Genomic DNA, 23,696 nt, shown 5'->3' with positions numbered 1-23,696 from the left:
ACTCTGTCCAAAAAAAAGAAAAAAGAAAAAAAGAAAAGAAAGAAAGAGAGAAAGAGAGAGAAAGAGAGAGAGAGAGAGGAAGGAAGGAAGGAAGAAAGGAAGGAAGGAAGGAAAATTATAAGAATTATAAGAATTAGCAAAGTCATGTTTCTGGAACATTCTATTCTTTCTCCTGTGCAAGTGATTGGCCCACTCTGTGATTTAGACACCACCCTCCCCAACATCCTGTCCCAAACCTAAATTAGGGGCCTCCTGTTCTCATCCCTCGTAGCATCTTACCCATGTACCTGTGTGTGTAGCATCTGTATTTTTTTGTGAGAGTTGCTGTAACAAATGACCACAACCCAGGTGGCTTAAAACAGCGGAAATTCATTCTCACGTTGTTCTGGAGGCGAGAAATCTGCAACCAGGTATCAGCAAGGCCACACTCCCTCCTGAGATTCTAGGAGGTAATCCTTTCCAGGCCTCTTCCCATTCCTGGTGACTCCTGGTGTCACTGGACTTGTAGCAGTGTCATTCCAATCTCTGCCTCCGTCCTCACATGGCTTTCTTCCCTGTGTCTTTCTGTGTGTCCTCTCCTTTTCTAGGAAGGACACCAGTCATTGGATTTAGAGCCCTTCCTAATCCAGTATGATCTCTTCTTAACTAACAACTTCTGTCAAAACCTATTTCCAAATAAGGTTGTTTCTGAGGTTCTGGATGGACATGAATATTGGGGACTCTGTTCAACCCACTACCTTAGTTTGAAGTTTGTCTCCCACAGAGATCATGGGCTGTATGTGGGCTGAACCATCTCTCTCTTGTTCACTGTTGTATCTCCAGGCCTTGGCACTGTGCCTGGCACATAGAAGCTGCTCAATAAACATAATGAAACCTAACCTAACGTAGCATACTATAAGAGTGAAATTGAACTCTAGACAAACAAATTAGTTCAGATTTCTCTGGTCAGGCCAACCTGGGTTCAAATCCCATCTCTTCCACTCAGCTGTGTGTTATGTCACTTAAATGTGCCTCTGAGTCTCTCTAAATTCTGCTCCATCTGCAAAGCAGAGATAATAATACTATCTACCACATTAAGTTATGGTGAGAACTCAGTGAGAAAGTGAGCATGATAAGCTTAGCCTAGTGCTAGCTCAGAAAGCCCTGGTGTTAGCTGCTAGGATTATCGTACACCAAGCATTGCAGAGAGTAGCTCATTGCTGGAAGATGCCCCAAAGAACACCATCCAGTGTCCTATGGACCATGAGTAAAGCTTGCTGCCACTTGTGTAAAAAGAAGGAAAAGTGACTATATGCACATATTTGCTGACATATCCCTAAAGCATCTTTGGAAAAGTATAAAAAACTGGTAATATTAATTGCCTGGGCGGGGCATGGTGCCTCACGCCTGTAATCTCGGCACTCTGGGAGACCAAAGTGGGTGGATTGCTTGAGCCCAGGAATTTGGGACCAGCCTGAGTAACATGGCGAAACCTCATCTCTACAAAAAATAGAAAAATTAGCTGGGCTTGGTGGCACGTGCCGTGGTCCCAGCTACCTGGGAGGCTGAGCTGAGAGGATCACTTGAGTCCAGGAGGTCGAGGCTGCAGTGGGTCATGATTGTGCCACTGCACTCCAGCCTGGGCGACAGAGCGAGACCCTGTCTCAAAAAATATAGAGAGACAGACAGATAGATAGATAGATAGATAGATAGATAGATAGATAGATAGATATAGATAGATAGATAGATAGATAGATAGATTTGCCTCTGGGGAGGGCAACCACATGGCTGGAGTGAACGGGGGAAAGGAGTTTTCTTTTTCTCTAGCACATTTGTACATCGACTAATATAAAAATTATCTATTTAAAAAGTAAATCCGTTTTTACAACACAAGGTGCCCTATCAATGAAAATGATTTGAAGATATTAGGAGTGGGGTCAAACCCAGCATTCGAGTTGAGGGTGAGGGGCGAACGTGAGAATTGCAAACAGGTAGAAGGAAAACGCAGAGGTGAAAGATTTCAGGTGCAGCTTTTGACATGAACTGCCGTTCCTTCGAAGCAGCAGTTAATTTCATGAGTAAACGAGCTGGGAGCAGAACTCGTTCGCTGGGTGAACACCGGCCAGGCGGCAGATTCTGCAGCAGCGCTCTCCTGCGGGAGGGGCAGGTGGAGGCGGGGCCTTCCTTGGAGATCTCTGATAGGGGATCCTTCCCTCAGCACCCGAGGGAAAGGTCTTGAGCGCTCTGTAGCCCCGGACTGCGCGGGCCGGTGGCTTGCTTGTCGAGGCAGGCACTTTCGGAAAATTGCTTTTGACATGTATTCCCTTGTTTAGGTCTTGGCCATCCCCCGCACTCTATGTGCTCAGTGACCTTTGACATGAACTTGCTAACAAAGGTTACACCAAATCAAAATGGCATTCCAGAAGATTCTTTTCAGCAGCAGGTACTCCCTGACCTAGATTAAGTTTTCTCAAATGTCAAAACCCTGAAAAAGATACCGAAATTGACCAGAATCACTTGGGCAAAAAATACATATTTTTTTTTTTTGTGACCAAAGGAATGAAATCGGGAAATAAAAACAAAGGAAAACATAGGAGAGAGTGCAAAATCAAAGAGAAACATTCACTTTTGTAAAAATGTTTAAATTTTTTTTGCCCTTACAAAAATAAATAAACATTATTATACATAGCAGTGTTGGATTAAAACTAAGCCATGTGCAATGGAGATTTTGCCATAACTTGGCAGACAGAGAGAGAGTGTGTGTGTTTTAGTAAGGGTGAGGAGAGTATTAACAAGATGATGATTTTATGAGTTAGTTTTTCACTCTCTCCAAAGTGAAAAAGAACTGAATTGGAACTTTTATTGATAAACAAAGGTTTTTCATAGATTACAGTCTCTTAAAGGGAGTCATATTAGAATAAGCTTAGAAAATGTTCACTATTTTAAACGCACAGCCACTTATTTTGAGCTTTAAAAATTGCTTTCACATTTTTACTGTTACATTTCATGTTATTTGAATGGCAGAGAATTACTTAGCATAGCTAAAAATACGTTTGTATATACATACACAGGAAAGAAAGGAGAACAATCAAGAATGGAAAAAAATTAAAATTCTCACAGAGAGTAGGAACACCAAAGGGGCGATTCGGGGGTATCTCATGGTGGTTTGGAGCTGGGGCCTAGACAGACCTGGGTGTAAATCATTGATCTACCGTTTATGAGCTGTGTGATTCTGGGCAGGTAACCCACCTCTCTGAGCCTCAGTTTTCCCCATCTATTAAATGGGCATAATAGCAGTAACTATGTCACCGCTTGTGTGAGGTGAATGGAGAGGATGTTGGCTATTATTTTGATGGCAGCCAGGTGTGGTTTTTAGGTATTTACTTTTCCTCCTCTTGGTCTCCCCACCCCTGCCTCTTCCTTGTCTCCTTCGTTCCAGTGGAACGAGGCAGGGGAGAGCAGAGGGGCCTACAAGTCCGGCTGGCCTTTGTTTTTCAAAAAAAAAAAAAGAAAATTTAGAGCGAGCACAGAGTAGCTAAAAAGGAGGGTGAGGAGGATTTGTGGGCAGAGACGAAATACAGCTACGTGCTGCAGGGCAATGTTTTGGCCAACCATGGACGGCATATACGACAGTGGTTCCATAAGATTCTAACACTGTATTCCTCCCGGACCTTTCCCACGTTTAGATACACACATACTCACCGTTGCCTACAGTACCCAGTACAGTCACATGCTGTGCAGGTTTGGCGCCTAGGAACAATGAGCTACACCATGTAGCCTAGGTGTATATAGTAGGATATACCATTGAGGTTTGTGTATGAGGTTTGCACAATGACACCTAATGACACATTTCTCAGAACATATCCCCAGCATTAAGTGATGCATGACTGTATCTTCTTTTTTTTTTTTTTTTTTTGAGGCAGAGTCTCTCTCTGTCGCCCAGGCTAGAGTGCAGTGGCACCATCTCAGCTCACTGCAACCTCCACCTCCCGGGTTCAAGTGATTCTCCTGCCTCAGCCTCCCATGTAGCTGGGACTACAGGAGTGCACCACCAAGCCTGGCTAATTTTTGTTTGTTTTGGATTTTTAGTAGAGACAGGGTTTCACCATATTGGCCAGGCTCATTTTGAACTCCTGACCTCAAGTGATCCACCTTTCTCAGCCTCCCAAAGTGCTGGGATTACAGGCGTGAGCCACCACGCCCGGCCATGACTGTATCTTTGAAAATTGGGGAGGAGAATGTGTCCTCTTACCCCCACAACACACACGCACGCACACACACACACACACACACGCTCAGGCTGGCAGGAGGAGAGAGAGAACTGTTCTCTAGCTGCTCCTGGAGCCCAGGGGGACTGGCCCTGAGGCTTGGTGGGCAGGCAGGCCATGGGAATCCTCACAAGCATTCTCATCCTCAAGCATGGGAATGACCCCATATTTCCAAATGAGGTTCTGGGAAGGGCATGGAGGGAACATAGGAATGTAGAAGGTCAGGGCTGAGCCAGCGTTGCACATGCTGGGTTTGAGGGGCCTGAGGAGCCCATCGCACCCCTGTTACCTTGGGCTCCCCTGGCAGGAACCCACCTGGTCCCACGCTCGCTGCTCTCCCATCCTTGTCTCACGGCTGCACTGCTGGGAGATTATCTCTCAGGGGGACTTTGGGTCCAACCATCCAGTGAGTTGGGTCTCACAGGTGAAGCCATCAAGCTTCTGAGATGCTTTTGGAACGAGGGAGGGATGATAGGAAGGCACAAACCGGACACGGGGCACTCATGGAGCTGAGATTGACTAATAACTGGGCGGCCAAGTGAATTATGTTATATCCCAAGATTTAATCCCATGAAGCCCAGACCAGTGACTGTGCAGAAGAATATTTAATGGAGAATATCTGCAATGTGGGAAAAGCACCTTGTAAACAGTGTGTAGATTTCAATCCCCTAAAATAGATACAAACGGAAAAACTTGCACTTGAATGCTTGCAGAGGTGTTATTCACAATAACACAATAAAGAGTAGAAGCAAGGCAAATGTTCATCGACTGGTAAGATGCACAAACCAATGCGGTCTGTCCATAGCCTGGAATATCCCTCAGCCATAAAAAGACATAGAGTGCTCGCCATGCCACAGCACAGTTGAACCTTGAACACGTGAGACCAAGTGAAAGAAGCCAGGCAAGACTCCATGCATCAGATGCCTCCATTTATGTGAAATGCTCAGAACAGGTAAACCCACAGAGACAGGGAGTGGATTCATGGTTGCTGGGGCTGGGCAGAGAGAAGAAACATGGCGTGACTGCTAATGAAGATGGGGTTTCATTTTGGGGCCAAAAAATCTTCTAAAATCAGACTGTGATGATGGCCATCCAAGTCTATGAATATACTAAATAGCATTGAATTGTTCACTTCAAATACATTAATTTTCTGTATGCAAATTGCATCTCAGGAAAGCTAAGATAGAGAGGTAAATGTGTATGTCATATATATCTGTTTGCATATGTGCATATTTCTATTTAGGCTTAGGTATAATTATATGCATTGAAAAAGGACTGGAATCATTTTCACCAAAATGTTCATCCTGGTTGTTTCTCATTGGTAAGATTATGGGTGATTTTTTTTAACCTTCTTTTTGCTTTTCTGTATTTTCTGTTTTTTTTTTTAAGATATGTTAAGTGAAAACATAATGCAATAAAAGTTGCCTACAGTTATTGAGAGCCTGTTGAGTGCCAAACACATTATAATATGTCATTTGCTGTTTCAACAGCCACTCACGAGGTGGGTACCATCATCATCCCATTTTCTACAGGGAGAAGGTGAGACTTCGGGTGAAGAGGTGGCTCGCCCAGAGGCACAGTCAACAGATGATGAAGCCAGGACAGGAACCTGCAATCTGGCTCCTGCTAGTAGGTTAGGTTTGAACGCTACTTCTATCATGTGTGTGATTTGGGGCTTGTTGCTTTTCGGGTAGAAATGAATGAAGACAACAGAGGCTCAGCTCGAAGCAATAGGATTGTCACTGTGATTGACACCTGGGTGGGAGAAGGCTGGAGGCACAAGGCTGGGGCCTGGGGAGGCAGGCAGGCATGTGGGTCTGCTAGTGAGGGTGGGGGCACAGGGAAAAGGCAGCTCCCGTCCTGGGGCATCAGGGGAGTAAGAGTCCAGAGCACCATGGCTGAGTCTAGGCCATTGGGCAGGACTGGGCTCCAGGGCCTGGGAGCCACAGTCAGAAGCCTGGACGGACCCAGGGGCAGCGGGGAGCAAGTGAAGGGTTTCGCCTGAGGATCAGACAGGATCCCATTTGTTTTTAGAACGATCACTCTGGCTCCTGGGTGTGGAGTGGAACAACCTGCATTTAGTTAGAGATGAGCGCACAGACATGGGTGAGGGCCTCTTCTGCAAAGATCAGCCTCCTGCAAAAACTTTTAGTGCTGAGAACTTCAGGATACACCTGCTGAGAGGGGCATCAAGGACTTCAGCTCCTAACCACCCAGAGTGGAAGGCCATTTGACTTCATGGAAGCTTTTCAACCACAAAAGCCAGCTCCCACTCCCACAGCTGTTTCTGATTTGAGACTCAGCTGGGGGCCATCCCTCCTGGGGACAGATGTCAAGAAAGAGATCTCCTGAGTTCACCTGTGCATCCAAGGGAGATGGCTCCGAGATTTACAGAGGGACCCCTGGCCGGCTCTCATTACTTAGGAACCAGCGACCTAATCTCAAAGGGTTGGGGCCTTGTTCCCACTTCCTGAGAACATGACATGCTTGCAACTCCAGTTTCTCCTCCATTGGGGATTTTTTTCTTTTTCCCAAGCTCTCAAACCATTGGGTGTCTGGAAGCCTAAGTTGGCCCAAACCACACAGAGTGGGGGAGAGAGAATGCAGCCCCAGATCTCCTCTGCGCCAGGCAAATGCTCCCTGCTGTACCTTAAGTACTGGGTGAAAATATGTGGGGGCGAGGACCCATCATCAGAGTCCAACCCTCGTCAACCACCGCCACATCCACCGTGTCCTGAATCAGGGCTCACATCAACCCACCACGTGGGCTCCATGATTAAAATCATTTCAGGAGCCAGGCGCGGTGGCTCACGCCTGTAATCCCAGCACTTTGGGAGGCTGAGGTGGGCGGATCAGGAGTTCGAGACCAGCCTGACCAACATGGTGAAACCCCGTCTCTACTAAAAATACAAAAAAATTAGCTGGGCATGGTGGCACGCGCCTGTAATCCCAGCTACTTGGGAGGCTGAGGCAAGAGAATCGCTTGAACCCGGGAGGCAGAGATTGTAGTGAGCCGAGATTGCGCCACTGCACTCCAGCCTGGGTGACAGAGTGAGACTCCATCTCAAAAAAAAAAAAAAAAAGAGAGAAAATAAAATCATTTCAAGAATGAGGAGCTGAGGCACAGAGGGGTTAAGTAGGTCCCCCAAGGTGACAGAAGCAGTCAGCAATGGCCCCAGAATTCAAGGCCAGGCTGTTGGGGTCTTTCAGAGCCCATATGTGTCACCAGACTCTACATCTTCTCTCTTAGGAGTGCAAGTCAATGAATTGTTCACCCCTGGATTCCAGGCAGGCAGGAATTCTTGTTCATCAGCATGAGCAGATGCCACATCTTGAATTTTCCCTGCACGTTAAGTAAGGATTTGGCTCTCGCCTGTTCTCTCCTCCCCCACCCACCTCTGCAGCTGACTTTAATGGCTTTTGACAGTTATTTGTATAATTTGAGTTTTGTGGCATCACAAAGATCTTTCTCCTGGGGAAGATTACATGAAACTGTTTTGACAGCTCTCACCAAAGGGGTAACACTTAATATATAACAGTTCATCAAACAAAACCGGGATCCAAGAATACCTTTTGCTGTTAGTCATGATGATATCACCTTTAGGTCTAAGAAAAAAGAAGGGGAAAAAAAAGACAGAAAACCTTCTTTATGCTGTGACATTTCTGAGAGAAAATCAAATCGTTGAACTGATGTATTTTGTGAAGGTGAAAGACCTGTCTGTTCTGCACATGTGATTAGAAAGTTTTGGAAATGAATGAACACCATTTGTAAGATAAATTTAAGGAGCCCTGAGTTGACTCCAAGCCCTCTGAGCTTTTTCTTTATTCTCTCTTCTCTGGTTGAGGAGTTGTTAAGTCTCTAAATCAATCAGCTATCTCCTTTTGAAATCCTGTTTGAAAACACTCATTCTCCCCGAGGCCAGCTACTCTGTTTTTTTCCTCTCTCACTGCCTGGGTAATTTGTTTTTAACTCTGCAACCCTGTTTTTTCTTGTTGGGGAGCATTTTCCCATAGAATTTGTGTTAAAAGAGCTTTTGAGAGATAAAGGTGGACCCAGAGCTTTCTGGAAGAGGACTGGAGTGGGGGATAGTAGCGGGAGAGCCAGGTACCAGGTGCCTTAATGCTAATAAGCAAATGCTGCTGTTTCTTTTCTTTTCTATTTTTTTTTTTAAGATGGAGTCTCATTGTGTCAGCTCACTGCAACCTCTGCCTCCCACATTCAAGCTATTCTCCTGCCTCACCCTCCCAAGTAGCTGGGATTATAGGCGTGCACCACCATGCCCATCTAATTTTTTGTATTTTTGGTAGAGATAGGGTTTTGGCATGTTGGCCAGGCTGGTCTCGAACTCCTGACCTCAGGTGATCCACCCGCCTCAGCCTCCCAAATTGCTGGGATTACAGGTATGAGCCACCGCACCTGGCCAAATGCTGCTATTTTTTAAATCTCCCCTGTACCACCAGCCCCAAACCTCAAGCAAACACACAAAAAAACCAAAACCAAAAACAGAAAGAAAGATCCTTAAAATAGAAGAGGCTTTATTCTCAAGGGACTGAAAGTTCCTTCTGCAGATTTTTGCAAACTAGTCATAAGGGCAATTAACTAATTACTAGAAGTCAAAGAGGCAAAGAAAAAAAAGCTTCCTGTTAGAAATCTTGAAATAACTGTCCTCAACCTCCATGTTTAATGCTTGGCTCAGGAGTCCCCTGAGCATTTGCTCTTCTCCGGAGGATCTTCCCGGGCTCAGGCTTTAACGTTCTTTGGAAATCCCAGTTTTCCAAACCTTTCAAGGTACAGACGTTTGAACAAAGCTGAGAAAGGCCTATTAGTCATGGGGATGGGAAGGGGGAGATCCTTTTTAAAAGGCTTATCAGTGTCTTAAATCTAAGCAGGAGGTACGGTGAGAAACGGGGGAATTCCCTGGATGGTTCTTGTAATTGCTGTGAATCGCCACGGGCTTGGATGCAACAGAGATAGGGTTTTATATGGGCAAAAACTCTTAGGAATTTCTGATTTTGTTTTTGCAGCCTCCCTCCCCTCCTCTGTCATCAAGAGTCATAAAAACATTGCTCATTAAAGTGATAGATTTGGGGTTTTGTTTGTTTGGAGGTTTTTTAAAGGGAGCAACAGTGCTTGAATAGTTTGATCATGTCATGGGGAAAATACCAAAAACAAGATCTGAAGACTTAATTGAGGTAAATATAAACCATGTTTTGTTCCTTTTCTTCAGACAGGGTCTTGCTGTGCCACCCAGGCTGGAGTGCAGCATTGCAATCATGGCTCACCACAGCCTCAACCTCCCGGGCTTAAGTAATTTTCCCACCTCAGCCTCCTGGGTAGCTGGGACTACAGGCATGCGCCACCATGCTTGGCTCATTTTTAATTTTTTTTTTTTTTTGGTAGCGATGGGGGTCTCACTATACTGCCCAGGCTGCCAGGATCTAGACTCTAAAGACACAATCTTCAGCTGCAAAACATATCCCCACTTTTTCTGAGCTTTCATCTGAGTCAATTTATAAACAAAATGGGCCGGGCGCGGTGGCCTGTAATCCCAGCACTTTGGGAGGCTGGGTCGGGCAGATCACAAGGTCAGGAGATCGAGTCCATCCTGGCCAACATGGTGAAACCCCGTCTCTACTAAAATACAAAAAATTAGCTGGGCGTGGTGGCGCAAGCCTGTAGTCCCAGCTACTCAGGAGACTGAGGCAGGGGAATCGCTTGAACCTGGGAGACAAAGGTTGCAGTGAGCCGAGATCGCACCACTGCACTCCAGCCTGGCAACAGAGCAAGACCCCATCTCAAATAAATAAATAAATAAATAAACAAATGTTACATAATATCATGTCAGGAAGTGATAGGTGCTCAGTGATAAAAATACAGCAGGAAAAGAGAGGGCTGGGGGCGTGCTGTGCTGCTTTAGCTAAGCCAGTGAGGAAAGACCTGCCTGAGACTGGAAAGAGAGGCTGGAAGGAGGTGAGGGAGGGAGGCCGGCTTCTACCTGAAAGAGTTGCAGGGAGAGGTTTTCTAGATGTGATTAAAGCCTGCAGTCAGCTGACTTTAAATAAAGGAGGGTGGCCTGGATGACCCAGGTGGGCCTGGTCCAGTCAGTGGAAAGACCTTGGAGCCGGCAGAGGCTCTCTGCATAAGGAGAAATTCCTCCCGTGACAGCGACCTGGGCCTATGCCTGTGAGTCACAGCTGTTCCTGACAGCCTGCCCCACGGACTCGGGACTTGCCTGGCCAGACCCCACAGTCACCTAAGCCAACTGCGTGCAATAAATCCCTTGATATCTGCCTCCTACTGATTCTGCCTCTCCAGCTGAACCCTGACTGATACACCAGCCATTAGATTCTCCCTCATGGGTTAATGGTCGTAACCCACCTCGACGTCACCTTCCTTCCTCCTTAGGATTCCTGGCAGCTCTGACCCAAGGCAAAGGTCTCAGTTTCCCAGATAGCCTGGGCATCCCAGCCCCAGGATGCACCTGCTCAGGCTGTGTGTGTGGTCTGCCTGAGTCTCCTGCACTCTCCTTCCCTTCCCTGCTGGTACCTCACTGCCCTGGGGGCTCAGCCAAGATGCACCCCACCCTGACCTGGGGCGCTTTGCTTATCACCCAGCTGCCAGGGATGCAGCTCCTCCAGATTCCAGGAGCTTCTCTCTCCACATGTGTATCAATCTGGAAGCCCTTTGAGGATGGCATTCTTTTTCAGTCCCAATTAGCATCACCTAACAGCTCATGCTTATCAATAGCTTCTCAGTAAGGGACTGTGGACCTGAACTGGCCAGATCAATGGATGAAGGAGGAGGAGCCTCCTTTTTAAGAAGCCGCCCAGGACCCATGCTGGTTAATAATGCAGTTCCAGCCCTGTGGCCATCCTGATAAATTGTATTGCCCTGGGGCTGTCACTTAGGGCTTTGGAGTCAGAGATGTGCTGGTTTGGAATGCAGGCCCCACCACTGCAGTGTCCCCATCTCCAGGACAATCATAATCGACCCCATCTCGTGGGTGTATTGTGAGGACTAAGAAAATAAATGATTTCACTAATGGACAAGTATTCTTGGTGTCACCAGGTGTGAGCTTGCTCTGGGTACTGAGGGTGCCTCAGTGAACAAGCTGGTCCTGGTCCCTGCCCTCATGAAGCCTGGAGTCAGGGGAGGTCTTGCAGAGAAGACCGGTCCCCACCATGCTGTGTGGACAGGGCTCTGGTGGGAAGTGCTGTCATCAGCACCGGGGCTAACCACCCAACGGGAACGGCGCCAAGAGTGCACTCCTCTAGGGCCATGCTCAGCCTATCCTAAAGCCTTAAAGAGCTCTTGAGCTTCTGCTGACACCAGTCACAGCAGGGCACCCTACCTGCCTAACCTCCATCCATGCCTCTGACAAATCCTTACCCAGTGTCTGTTCTGTAGATGTTCCAGAGCTGGGGAGGCAGCTGTGAACTGAACACACAGCAATCCCCCCTCTCTTAAGCTCTTGAATGTGCACCAAAAATCAAATAAATAACGGCACAGGAGATGTCCAAGGTCGGTGAATCCTGTAGAGGGATGCAAGGGCGATGAGGGGCACAGGAAGTGCCAGGGTGGGGTTAGAGTTCCTTTTTTTTTTTGAGACAAAGTCTTGCTCTTGTCTCCCAGCTGCCAGGCTGGAGTGTAATGGCACGATTTTGGCTCACTGCAACCTCCACCTCCCAGGATCAAATGATTCTCCTGCCTCAGCCTCCTGAGTAGCTGGGATTATAGGCACCTGCCACCACACCCAGCTAATTTTTGTATTTTTAGTAGAGATGGGGTTTCGCCATATTGGCCAGGCTGGTCTCGAACTCCTGACCTCATGATCTGCCCACCTCAGCCTCCCAAAGTGCTGGGATTACAGGCGTGAGCCACCATGCCCGGCCTAGAGTTCCTTTCTTTCAGAGGGTGGTCAGGAAAGACTTCTCGAAGGAGATAACATGGTGAAGGACATGAGAAAGTGAGACATATTTATATTGTGGGGAAAAGAATTCCAGGCAGAGGGAACAGCGCATGCAAAGGCCCTGGGGCGGGAGGATGCCTGGCACGTCAGAGGAACTGCGAGGGGGTCAGTGTGGTCAGAGCAACAGAGCAAGGGCAGGAGGTCAGGGCTGTAACTGGGACAGGGCTGTATAGAGTCCTGGGGGGCGGGGTTGGCCAGGACTGTGGCTTTTTCTCTGAGGGCAATAAGAGCCCTGCAGGGCAGTGAGCACATGGCATTCTCAGGATCTGCTTCTGGCCTATTCCCTTGGCTTCGGGTCTCCTAAGCTATGAACCTTCGCCATGGCTTCTCCTCCTCCCCTCCTCCAAACCTCCCGTCCCTGTGTCTGGATGCAGGCACAGATTCTACGCTGACTGTTAATCCTAAATAACCAGGAAGAAGAAAATCTCCGAAGCATCCCACAAAGCCCTCCTGATGATTTTAACCAGCTTCCAGTTACTGTTTTCTTACTAAGGAACAGTTCAAGTCCAAAGCAGTCTTTTGTTCTTGGGCTGGTGCCTAGAGAGAAACTTCCCTCCTGCTTGCCCGCAGCCCACAGCCCAGGTGGCTCTGAAGACAATGTTGTCGTTTTCATCTGTTTGCCTTGAAGTGGGCCTGGGTGATAATGTGACACACCTGCACAGCGCATGGCAGCACTTCCTTCAGCTCCACAAGCGCCTGCAGCCAAGCAGAGGTGTGCATGGAAGGGAGGGCTCAGGACCCTCTGCCACCCCCAACCGTGTGAAGAGAGCTGGGCGCAGCAGGGGGAGAGAATAGGCTCAGAAGTGCTGAGATGACACATCCTTCCCCCGGAGCTCTGACACCAACCCCCTGCTAGGGGAGAACAGTGTGGCTTCCCTCCTGATAACAAAAGCAGCCATATTTGTTTCTACCTGGCTGCCAGGGCTCTAAGAAATAGAAGAGCAAGAGGTCTCAGTGGACCTCAGGGGACAGAGAGGCCAGGCTGTGAGTTGTGGCTGGAGACGAGTTCCATGGCTTTGAGGGGAGATGGCATCTGAGGTGACTTTATTTTCCAAGGAGATCTCACACTGTCAGTGCTGGAAACGCTGAAAGCCATTGCTATGGACTCCAAGAAATCCAGACAACAAAAACAGCCGTCTTACCTTATAGGTAGGGAAACTGAGGCTCACGCTGGAAAAGGGTCTTATCCAGTGGGGAGATATAGGCAAGCCAGAGCTTCGACCTGGAACTTCTGGTTTCAGTATCAGGTTCAGACAGGCGATGGGACTGACTGGGTCAAAACCAGCTCCCAATTCTCCATGCCTTTGCTCTGGACTTTAGCCGCTCACCTAGTTCAGCCTACGGACCCTGGCCCTGCCTCTCCAGATCCCCAGATCCACGGCAGGAGTGGACAGGAGAGGAAGGAAGGAGGGAGGGATGGGGCTCCAGATTCCATCTCACAAAACAGGAATGGTCAGGGGCCCTGCGGAAAAGTGGAAGAGCAAGAAACGAGTTTAATTCTATGTCTACATTTACAAAGGCTGCCCGCAGAGGTTCTGGAAGCAGTGACGTGAATATACGGGCAGGAGGGAGGAGGTTTGGAGTGGTTACGTACCTGAGCGAAATATCCATCCATCGCCAACTGCGCCTGTCGGACCTGCGTAGTCGATACACAGCTATTTGAGTGCATTTTTTAGGGACAGGGTAGAAACCACAGGAAGAGCCAATCCTTGTGAGCCACCCTCCCTGGTGGGTGTGGGGTGGGGAGGGTGGAAACGGGACTTTGCTTTCTGTTAGAAGTCCTCCTGCACCATATCTGATGTTTGTAAACCCCATGAGCATTCATTTCTTGAATGAATTTTTAGAAAACAAATTTATTTATTTATTTTTGAGAAAGGGTCTTACTCTGTCACCCAGCCTGGAGTGCAGTGATGCGATCATAGCTCACTGCAGCCTCAAACTCCTAGGCTCGAGCGATCGATCCTCCCACCTCAGCCTCCCAAGTAGCTGGGACTACAGGCATGTTCCACCAGGCCTCGCTAATTTTTTCTTTTTTTTTTTTTTTTGGAGAGACAGAGTCTTGCTTTGTTGCTCAGGCTGGTCTCGAACTCCTGGCTTCAAGTGATCCTCCTGTCTTGACCTCCCAAAGTGCTGGTATTACAGGCATGAGCCAACTTGCCCAGCCTGGAAAACAAATATAAAGAACCCTTTAATTCATGAAGATGAGGGATTTCAACATGCAAGGAGGCGAGGTGTCATTCTGTTCTCTGCACCAGTAAACCCCAGACGGTGACGTGTGTGTGACCTGGCCAGGGTGCAGACTCTGCTCAGCAGGTCTGAGGGCACCTGGGCCTCTGCATTTCTGCTCAGCAGGTCTGAGGGCACCTGGGCCTCTGCATTTCTAGCAAGCTCCCGTGGTGCCGAGGCTGCTGCTCTGGGGCTGCTGTTCACTTGCGAAGTGAGGGTCTCGGGTCAGCTGGGAGCCAGAAGTGTTGTTATTATGGGCATGGACTCAGGAATCAGACACATTTGGATTCCCTTCCTAGCTTCATCACTTATGAGCTGCGTGACCTCAGGCACGTTGCTCAACCTCTCCGTGCCCTCATCTGCAGACAGTGGTGCATTTTCTGTCCTGTTCTGGTGAGGATTCAAGGAGATGATATCTATAAAATGCTTAGGCAGTGACTGGCGCAGACAGAATGTGCAAAAAAGTAGCCATATTATTATGGTCGTTTTGTCATGAAAGTGAAATGGCTTTGAGAATTGCACAGAAGGTTTGTGGACAGTGTTTGTGCTCTGGAGTTGGGTGGTCATGGATTTGAATCCCAGATAAAACAAAATGCTTTGGAGCATCAGTTAGAGATGCCGACTGCATGATGTACAGTCATGCAGGGAATCGCATGAATGGGAGCCCGTGTTTTCCAGCGACCTGCTCAGACCTGCTATCTTTTTGCCACCCATGCGCATAGGAGTGTGCGTTCGTGTGTGTGCACATATGCATGTGTGTGGAGGTTCCCTCTGAGGTTTAGATTGGCAGTTCCGGGGCCTTGGTTCAGAGGCGTGTTTGTTTGGTGTTACCGTCTTGGGTTGCTTCCCTTCAAAGGCAACCTCAACGTACACAACGGTAAACTTACCCACATCGTGTCTGTACATGAATTGGGACACTGCCTCCCTTCTCTCCTGGGTATACCAAACATAACTGAACCTGCGCTGGTTTCTGCTTGTGAATGGTCTGGTTTGTTCTCCAGAGTGAGTCACTTTGGTTGTGTTTCGTCTACACTCTTCTCTTGCAGCCAGGGGAGACCAAACTCCAAGATCTGCAGCAATCAGGTTCCACATGAGGGGCTCCTCTGTCTCCCAGGCGTTCTACATCGGCTCATTCATTCCGTTCATGTCGTCATCCAGCAACACACACGTCCCAACCCTCTGGGCTTCAGGTCGCACAGAGGCAGCTGACTTGGGTCACTAGTTATTTCTTCCTCTTTTCACTATCATCTCACTGTCCTGGGCTGGTGTTTCTCAACTGCGGGCAATTTGGTCCCTTCAGGGGACATTTTGCGATGGCTGCAGACATCTTTGGTTGTTAGGACTGGGGATGGGAGTGTTCCTGGCCTCCAGTGAGTAGAGGCCAGGGATGCTGCTCGACACCCTACACTGTGCAGGACAGCCCCACAAAAGAAGTATCCAGGCCACAATGCCACAAATGCCAAGGTGAAGAAACCCTGGTCTAGGTAGCATCTTGCTCTTCAGACTGGCAACATTGATGTTTCCTGGAACTTGTTAGAAATGCAGAATCTTGGGTCTCACCCAGATCTGCTGAATCAGAATCCACATTTTAACAAGACCAACAGGCGACAGATCAAGACAGGTGCAAACACAGATCTGGAATGTTCAGCCTCTGAATTGTAATAGCCAAGGAGCTCCCATTTATTTCGAACCTACTATGTGTGGACCACGAAATGTCCACCCCCTCACTGATGCTCACCAGACCTCATCTTCCAGGCCCAAGGAGTTGAAGCTCAGAGACTGCAAGCTACCTCCCCAAGGACACCCAGCTGGTGAGCTGCAACGCCAGTATCCCGACCCACTCAGCCTATCCGAGCCTTAACCACCTGACCGCCTATTAGGGTCATCATGCCCTCGCTGATTCATTGAGGATCTCTGTGGGAGGGGACAGAACATGGATCGAATTTTAAATTTCCTGGGTGATTCCAGTCCGCAGCCACGGTTTTGAGCCACCACTGAAGCAGGGTCTCGCTCTGTCACCACGATGGAGTGCAGTGGTGCAATCACAGGTCACTGAAGCCTCCAACTCCTTCGCTCAAGCGATCCTCCTGACTCAGTCTTTTGAGTTGCTGGGACTATAGGTGCACACCACCACTCCCCACTAATTTATTTTCGTTGTTTTAGAGATGAGGTATTACTATGTTGTCCAGTCTGATCTTGAACTTCTGGCCTCAAGGGATCCTTCCACCTCAGCCTCTCAAATTGCGGGGATTACAGGCATGAGCCACCTCTCCTGGCCCACATGATCATTTCTAAAACTTATCTGATCATAAGAATCCCCTGAGGCCCTTGTTAAAAATGCAGATTCCCAAGTTGTTCTCTTGATATTTCTGAATCAATAGGTCTGGATCAAGGCCAGGGATTTGTATTTTTAGGAGGGTTCCTCTGTTAAGTCTGATGTTAGGCTAGTTGGAGACACTCTAAACATAAGGTCTGTCTCTCCATGCAGTCTCAGCAGGGCAAAATTGCCCCAAGGAGGGCAAATATTGTTTGGGGAGGATGAGGGAGAGTGGATAAGAAAGTCTTACACTTTTTATTGATAAAACACAGATAAACAGACAACCTAAAGAGATATGCAATATATCCATGGCATTAAGATCTCATAAGAAAGAACAGTTCAGGAGAAAACAAAGCCTAAAAATGATTATTAGAGGAAAAATCATGAAAACAAGTTATTATGTATTTAACTAGATATGTGGCTGACCCTAGACCCAAGCCTGACACCTGCCTGTCTCTGCTACCAGGAGAGATGAGCAAGAGTCAGAGACAGATTACCTAGGAGGTAGAAAGTGACCTGAACAGGAGAGAAACAATACATGGTTCACAGTAAAATTCAGTGTGGCTTGAGGTACTGTTACTGAACATCCTGTCTCTGGATAGACTGGCCCTTTGTCAGGTTCCTCCAAACCTCCATCCCATGTCTGAGGAGTTCTCTGCGTTATAAGGCAAAGAGCCATTCCCTATAGGAGCTCAACATGAGGCAAACTTATTTTACTAGACTCCCTTGCAGCTAGGACATGAACACATGACCTAGACTCAGCCAATCAGAAGCACCCATCCCAAACACATAGTGAAAGCTGCCAGTGCAAAGCTGCAGCTCCGGGCAGCACCGATGAAGCTGTGGGGAGGTGGCAGCTGCAATGGCTACAATGGGTTCCAGAAGCAGAGTCCAGAGAACAGTCTGGGGCAAAGTGCAGCATCTGTGCTCAGCAGGTGCAGCGGTGCACCATGCCATCACCTGACCAGTTCCACATCAGGATGAAGGGCATTGTCCCTGGCTGCATGAACCTGGCTCTGCAGCCTCTAGATAATTTCAGGAGCTGCCTGATACCATAAAAATAAATTGCATTTCTGTTCCTTGCAACTAGCAAATCTCACCAGTATGGAATTCCCTCAAAGATCCCAAGGGTTTATCAGCCTTGGCACTATTGCCATCTGGGCCAGAAGACACTTGGTTGTGGGGATCCTATAATACATAAGATGTTCACAGAGCACCCTTGATCCACTAGATGCCAGTAGCTCCTGCCAAGCACCTGCATTGTGACAACGAAAATGTGTCCAGGTATTGCCAAATGCCCCTGGATTGCCTGGTTAAGAACAACTGGTCTGGGCCCCGTTGTCACCAGAGTGGGTTGGTGTGCAATTTGGGAAACATCACCCTGGGTGTCACCCGAAATGATAGGCTCTCCCAACAGTTGCTAGGTGACAATTTTATATTTGTATCCATGTCGTCTATATGTGTAGCTGAAAATCTGAAACTGTGTGTGTCAAAACTGCTTTATAGTATAGTGATTACTTTTGAAGATTAGAATTGGAGGGTGAGAGTTTTTTATGTTACATATTCCTGTCCCATTTATATTTGTTACAGTGAATGTATATTAATTGTGGTGAAAAATATTTAAAAGACAGGCTGGAGAACTAGATGGAGGCAGCTGAATCCATTTTCCACGCTGCAAACAGGGTGATTTTTCTTTTTTTAAATTATTATTTTTTCAATAGTTTTTGGGGTACAGGTGGCTTTTGGTTACGTGATAGGTTCCAGAGTGATTTTTCTACTTTTTTTTTTTTTGAGACAGGGTCTTGCTCTATTGTCCAGGTTGGAGTACACTGGCACAATCTTGGCTCACTGCAATGTCCACCTCCTGGGCTCAGGTGATCCTCCCACCTCAGCCTCTCAAGTAGCTGAGACTACAGACATATGCTGCCACCCCACTTGGCTAATTTTTGTTTTTTTTTTGTGGAGAGCGGGTCTCACTATGTTACCCAGGATGGTCTCAAACTCCTGGGCTCAAGCGATCCTCCTGCCTTGGCCTCTCAAATTGCCGGGATCACAGTTGTGAGCCACTGCTCCCAGCCAGAGAGTGATTTTTCTAAATGCCAACCTGATCCTCTTGCTGCTTAATCTCCTTGCAAGACTTCCCGTGGCTTTCAGGATAAAGGCTAAACTCTGTGGCATCACTGACAAGGCCCTTTGGGACCCTCACAGAGCCTTCCTCTTTCTTCAGCTTCATGCCCCACTTCTTGGTCTCCCACTTTTGCTCTCCTGCCTGCGGAGGCCCCAAGTGGCTGCCAGCCTGAGACTAGCTCAGCTCCTCAGTCTGCGCTCCCTCTGGCCTGCACCCCAAGTTTTCCCAGTTCTCTGAGGTTGTAGCAGCTGCAATATCACCTCCCAGGCAGCCTCCTGATCCATACTCCCAGGCTTCTAAAGGGACACAATGGCCACTTCCATCTTCACGTTCATTGCGACCTGAGTAACTCATCTTAAACTGAAGAACTCATCATTTTTGTCCCTTAGATCTCAATGCCCCCCACCATGTGGCCACCTTTGAATATCTATTTTAACTCCCACAGCCATTTGGAGTGGACAGACTTGTGTTCTAATCTCACCTTTGAACCTTATTGGCTGTGTGACCTTGGGCAAGTCACTTAACCTCTCTGGGCCTCAGTTTCCTCATCAAAATTGGAGGTAATTATAGCCTACCTTATAGAATAGTGGGGATCAAAATGATGAAAATAATAAATATAAAGCTCTCAGCATAGGGCCTGGCATAAAGAAAGCTTTCATCAAATGTTGTTTATTACTATTGCTATACATTTGCTATGGTGCCTAGAACGTAAATGCTCAAGAAATAATAGTAATAACAATAGTAATTATTTATTTATTGAACAGTTCTTGCCAAACACTGTGTTAAGTGCTTTGGCTACATCCTCCTGCTTACTCCTTGCAACAACACTATAATCAGGATACATTTATTCTCTTTCATAAATAAAGACGCCCTGGGAGGTGAAGCAATTTGCCCAAGCCACACAGGTAGAGGCCGGATAGCAGTCGGTTACAGGCCTCTTGGTCCCGAGTCCCTGATTGTCACACCACGCTGTACTCTCCTGCAGTAGGAGTTCTTGGTAATGGGGATATGGGAATTTTCCTTATTCTGTGTCCCTAATCTAGTCCAGACCCCTCCTCACTGAATCAAGGCACCCTGGGCTAATGGACCTTTGAGAGGAAGGGACACTTTCCCCATCGGAGACCAAGCTGAGACTCGGGAAACTAGAAATTGTCCCAAGCCAGGGAGCCAGCAACAGGGTTGTTTCGCCCTGAGTCCTGGCCCGGGGCTGTCGCAGCCTTGCTGAGCTGTTACCGGAGCCCCAGGCTTCCCATATGCAGCAACTTGACTCCTAAGGCTTTGCAAAGGCTGGGGTGATTCGGAGCCTGCTTCTCTGGCTTCACCCAGATCCTGGAGGCCAGACAGGCCTCAGGAGCCTTCCTCACACCCAGTCCCAGAGCCACCAGGCAGGGTTAGCCTCCTGGGGCGGTGGGTGGCGGGAGGCAAGCTGCTGGGCTGCAGTGCGGACAGATCCCGCCACCAGGTGGCACAGGTGAGGTGCTCTGACTTTTTTGTTGTTTTTCTTTTCTACCTTGATGAAAGCGCTGCCATTTGCTGAACCCCAGCGGCAGGGAACACGTGGGCTCAAGGTGAGGGTCTCAGGACCTGAGGAGATGGTATTATGTACTATTTGAAGCTATTTTTTTGTGATTCTAAAATGTACCATTTTCCCCCCTCTGCCGAGCTAGTGGCGACCCCACAGCCCCACACCCCCAGTGCCTGGTTTGCAATAGATGCTCCAAACAATGTCTAATCACTGAATAAATGAACAAACTCGTGAACGTGTCCAAAGGGCTGTCTCTTCCTTTCCGGAACCACTCACCCTTGGGTGCTGCCGCACCTCCAGCAGGCCAAACCCTGGGGGCGGATTAAGGAGCAGATGCTTGCTCCACAGCTGGCCCATCTCCAGGTGTTGCAGAGGGGCCCAGACTGAGAGCGGCGCCTGTGAAGGGTGGAGGAGATGGGAGTGAAAGGGCAGGCCGGGGAGCAGACGTCTTGACTCTATCTCTGCCTCTCCCAGGAGGCCACAGCCATGGGTGCTGAGTTACCCAGAATGGCTTTCTGAGAATTTAGAGGAGCCCCTCTACTGTGACTACCTCCAACCCCCTGGAGGAGGCCAGAGCCAGCTCCCATAGAGTTGATTTATCTTCCTATAGCTTCAGAAAGTAGAATGCTGTCAATGTCACCAATCAGCCACCCAGCTGTTCTTTGACCTTAGATGCTTCCTCTTGTCGGAGATGCTTTCTGGGGTCTCCAGCTAGCTGATCACCTCCTTTCTCTGAGACCTCCCCACTAACCAGAAGAGGGGTCCCCCAAGCAACCTGTTTCTGCCTGTGGCTAAGAATCACTGAGCATTTACTGCATCGCAGGTGCTGGTATTATCTGTCTCCTCCTCTAGAATGTGAGCTTTGCAAGGCGTTTTTCTCACGGTTGTAGTCCTAGCACCTAGAACTGTTCCTGCACATATTAAGTGTTTCGTAAATATTTTTTAAAGATAGAATGAATGCCTCCTTATGCATAATCTGATTAAACCTTCCCAGTGACTCTGTGAGGTAGGTGCAAGCATTATCCTCACTTTGCAGATGGGGAAACTGAGGCCCAAGGTCACACAGCTGGAAAAAGGTAAAGCTGGGATTTGAACTCAGGCCTGTTGGACTTCACCTTCCACATTCTTCCCAGCATGCCTCACTCCCTCTCCCCAGCAGCAACTCCTGCCAACCTAGGAGGCGGTGGATTGAGATTTTGCAATGAGAAGTCCAAGGACTTTTTCTGTCCTTGCAGGGCAGTTTAAAAGACAAGAGACCAGACTAGCCAAACCTCTTCTTTCAGGAAAAGCTCCTTCCAGCTTTCAAAGACTTCCCAAGAGCCTCCCTCAGGGCCCTGGGTGGAGGGATCCTGTTGGCGAGGGAACCCTGGGTGGGTGGAAGACAGCTGGGAAGTTTATGGAGTATTCACACTACACTAGAGCAGCTTAGAAGCGGGTCTTCCTCCCCGAGTCTGGGCAGCCCTTGCTGCTGATGTTTGCCCAGCATCCGTGACGTGGCTGCTCTTCCTTACTTGGACACAGACCAAGAGAGAGGGCACCAGGCTTCTGGCTCCACAGGAGGTGGAGAGGGCAGAAGACCGCCTGTCACTTTAGGAAGGCTGGCTGCCAGGGAGGTCAGAGAGGGGCAGGGGCACATGTTGGTTCTGGGGTCACAGACCAGGGTGAGGTTCCAAGAACCGCATTGACTGGTATTTTCTAAATAACTCGTTTTGTTCCATGAGTGTTATGTGTTGAGAGCAGAACATGGGATGGGGCTCTGGAGTCAGCAGTCCTCAGTTCAAGTCCTGGCTCTGCTACTGACAAGAGAGGTGGCCTAGGGCAAGTTAGCTTCTCTGAGTCTCAATTTCCTAACCTGTCAATAGGCCTGACAATGGTCTGTCTCATGGGGTTATGAAGAGGAGTGAGACAAGCCACGTGCAGTGCCTGGTGCACAGTGAACTGGAAACGGCTCACCACCAGCACATGGCAGAGGAGGAGTCCTGCGATCTCCTCCCTGACAAACTTCTAAAGTGGTAGCTGCTGGGAGACAGTGTTCCATGGGTTTCCAGAATGTCAGTATATCTTGTGAGCAGAGACACTGACAGCATGGGCATTCCAGACTACCTTTCCAAGGATGTTTGTAAGCAAATAGTCTTGGAAAATAGAGATAACAGAGGGAAAGTTTGTTTGCTTACCAGTAATGCCTCCCTCTAGGGCAAAGGGTGGGCAGGATCTAGAAGCTTATAAAAAACTGGGATTCCCTAAACTCAGGTTTCCTCTGCTATGATGCAAAACCTTGTGTGGATAGCAAGCACCTGGGTCACTGTCTGTCACCCCTCATAGGACTTAAGGGTAAAGAGGAAACAGACACAAGCATAAATCTCATGCTGCCTGCTGTGTAGTAATAAACTCCTTTATCTCTGACCCAGTAGTCTTATGTCATCTTCCTGCATTGACAACACTGTGACAGGCTCACTTATTAGCTGAAAGTATGGAAAAATCTTAGAACCTTCACAGTTCTGTTGCATCCCTACCACCTATGACTGTTCCTGATACGTCATGCATGCTGAGCAAATATTTTAAGAGAAAAAGTAGATTTGGGATCTCTATTGGCGAATTTGCACACATTCACGGCTCAGCTCACACTTCCTCACTGGGCTGGCAGGTTTTTGAAGCAGGATCTCTGTTTTCTTTCTTTCTTTCTTTTTTTGAGATGGAGTCTTGCTCTGTCACCCAGGCTGGAGTGCAGTGGTGCGATCTCGGCTTACTGCAAGCTCCACCTCCCAGGTTCATGCCATTCTCCTGCCTCAGCCTCCTGAGTAGCTGGGACCACAGGCACCCGCCACTTCGCCCGGATAATTTTTTTTTTTGTATTTTTAGTAGAGATGGGGTTTCACTGTGTTAGCCAGGGTGGTCTCGATCTCCTGACCTCGTGATCCACCCGCCTTGGCCTCCCAAAGTGCTGGGATTACAGGCGTGAGCCACCATGCCCGGCCTATAGGTATCCATGAGGTTTTGCTGCATTGGGTGGAAGTAAGGATCCCTACCCTTAAAGAATGTGGGCCAGGCGCGGTGGCTCATGCCTGTAATCCCAGCACTTTGAGAGGCCGAGGCAGGTGGATAACCTGAGGTCAGGAGTTCGAGACCATCCTGGGCAACATGGTGAAACCCTGTCTCTACTAAAAATACAAAAATTAGCAAGGCATGGTGGTATGTGCCTGTAATCCCAGCTACTGGGGAGGCTGAGGCAGGAGAATCACTTGAACCCGGGAGGTGGAGGATGCAGTGAGCTGAGATCAAGCCA

At 48.3% G+C, this 23,696-nt stretch overlaps 3 annotated features.

Moving 5' to 3' along the window:
• Positions 1,278-1,441: a silencer, noted in NCBI's record as "fragment chr20:55589742-55589905 (GRCh37/hg19 assembly coordinates)". NCBI's record gives its function as "represses an EF-1alpha promoter that drives an FKBP-Casp9 reporter gene in an ReSE screen in phorbol 12-myristate 13-acetate-treated (for megakaryocytic differentiation) K562 erythroleukemia cells {active_cell/tissue: K562(+PMA)}" and the evidence as "EXISTENCE:reporter gene assay evidence [ECO:0000049][PMID:32094911]".
• Positions 11,661-12,528: an enhancer, noted in NCBI's record as "H3K4me1 hESC enhancer chr20:55578655-55579522 (GRCh37/hg19 assembly coordinates)". NCBI's record gives its function as "activates a minimal SCP1, AML or CMV promoter by ChIP-STARR-seq in primed H9 embryonic stem cells {active_cell/tissue: H9 hESC(primed)}" and the evidence as "EXISTENCE:reporter gene assay evidence [ECO:0000049][PMID:30033119]".
• Positions 20,153-20,681: an enhancer, noted in NCBI's record as "H3K4me1 hESC enhancer chr20:55570502-55571030 (GRCh37/hg19 assembly coordinates)". NCBI's record gives its function as "activates a minimal SCP1, AML or CMV promoter by ChIP-STARR-seq in naive H9 embryonic stem cells {active_cell/tissue: H9 hESC(naive)}" and the evidence as "EXISTENCE:reporter gene assay evidence [ECO:0000049][PMID:30033119]".

This window comes from Homo sapiens, chromosome 20 (genome assembly GCF_000001405.40).
Source record: "Homo sapiens chromosome 20, GRCh38.p14 Primary Assembly".
Lineage (NCBI taxonomy): Eukaryota > Metazoa > Chordata > Mammalia > Primates > Hominidae > Homo > Homo sapiens.
Note: the sequence above shows the minus strand (reverse complement) of the source record. Positions and strands in the feature narration are given on the sequence as shown.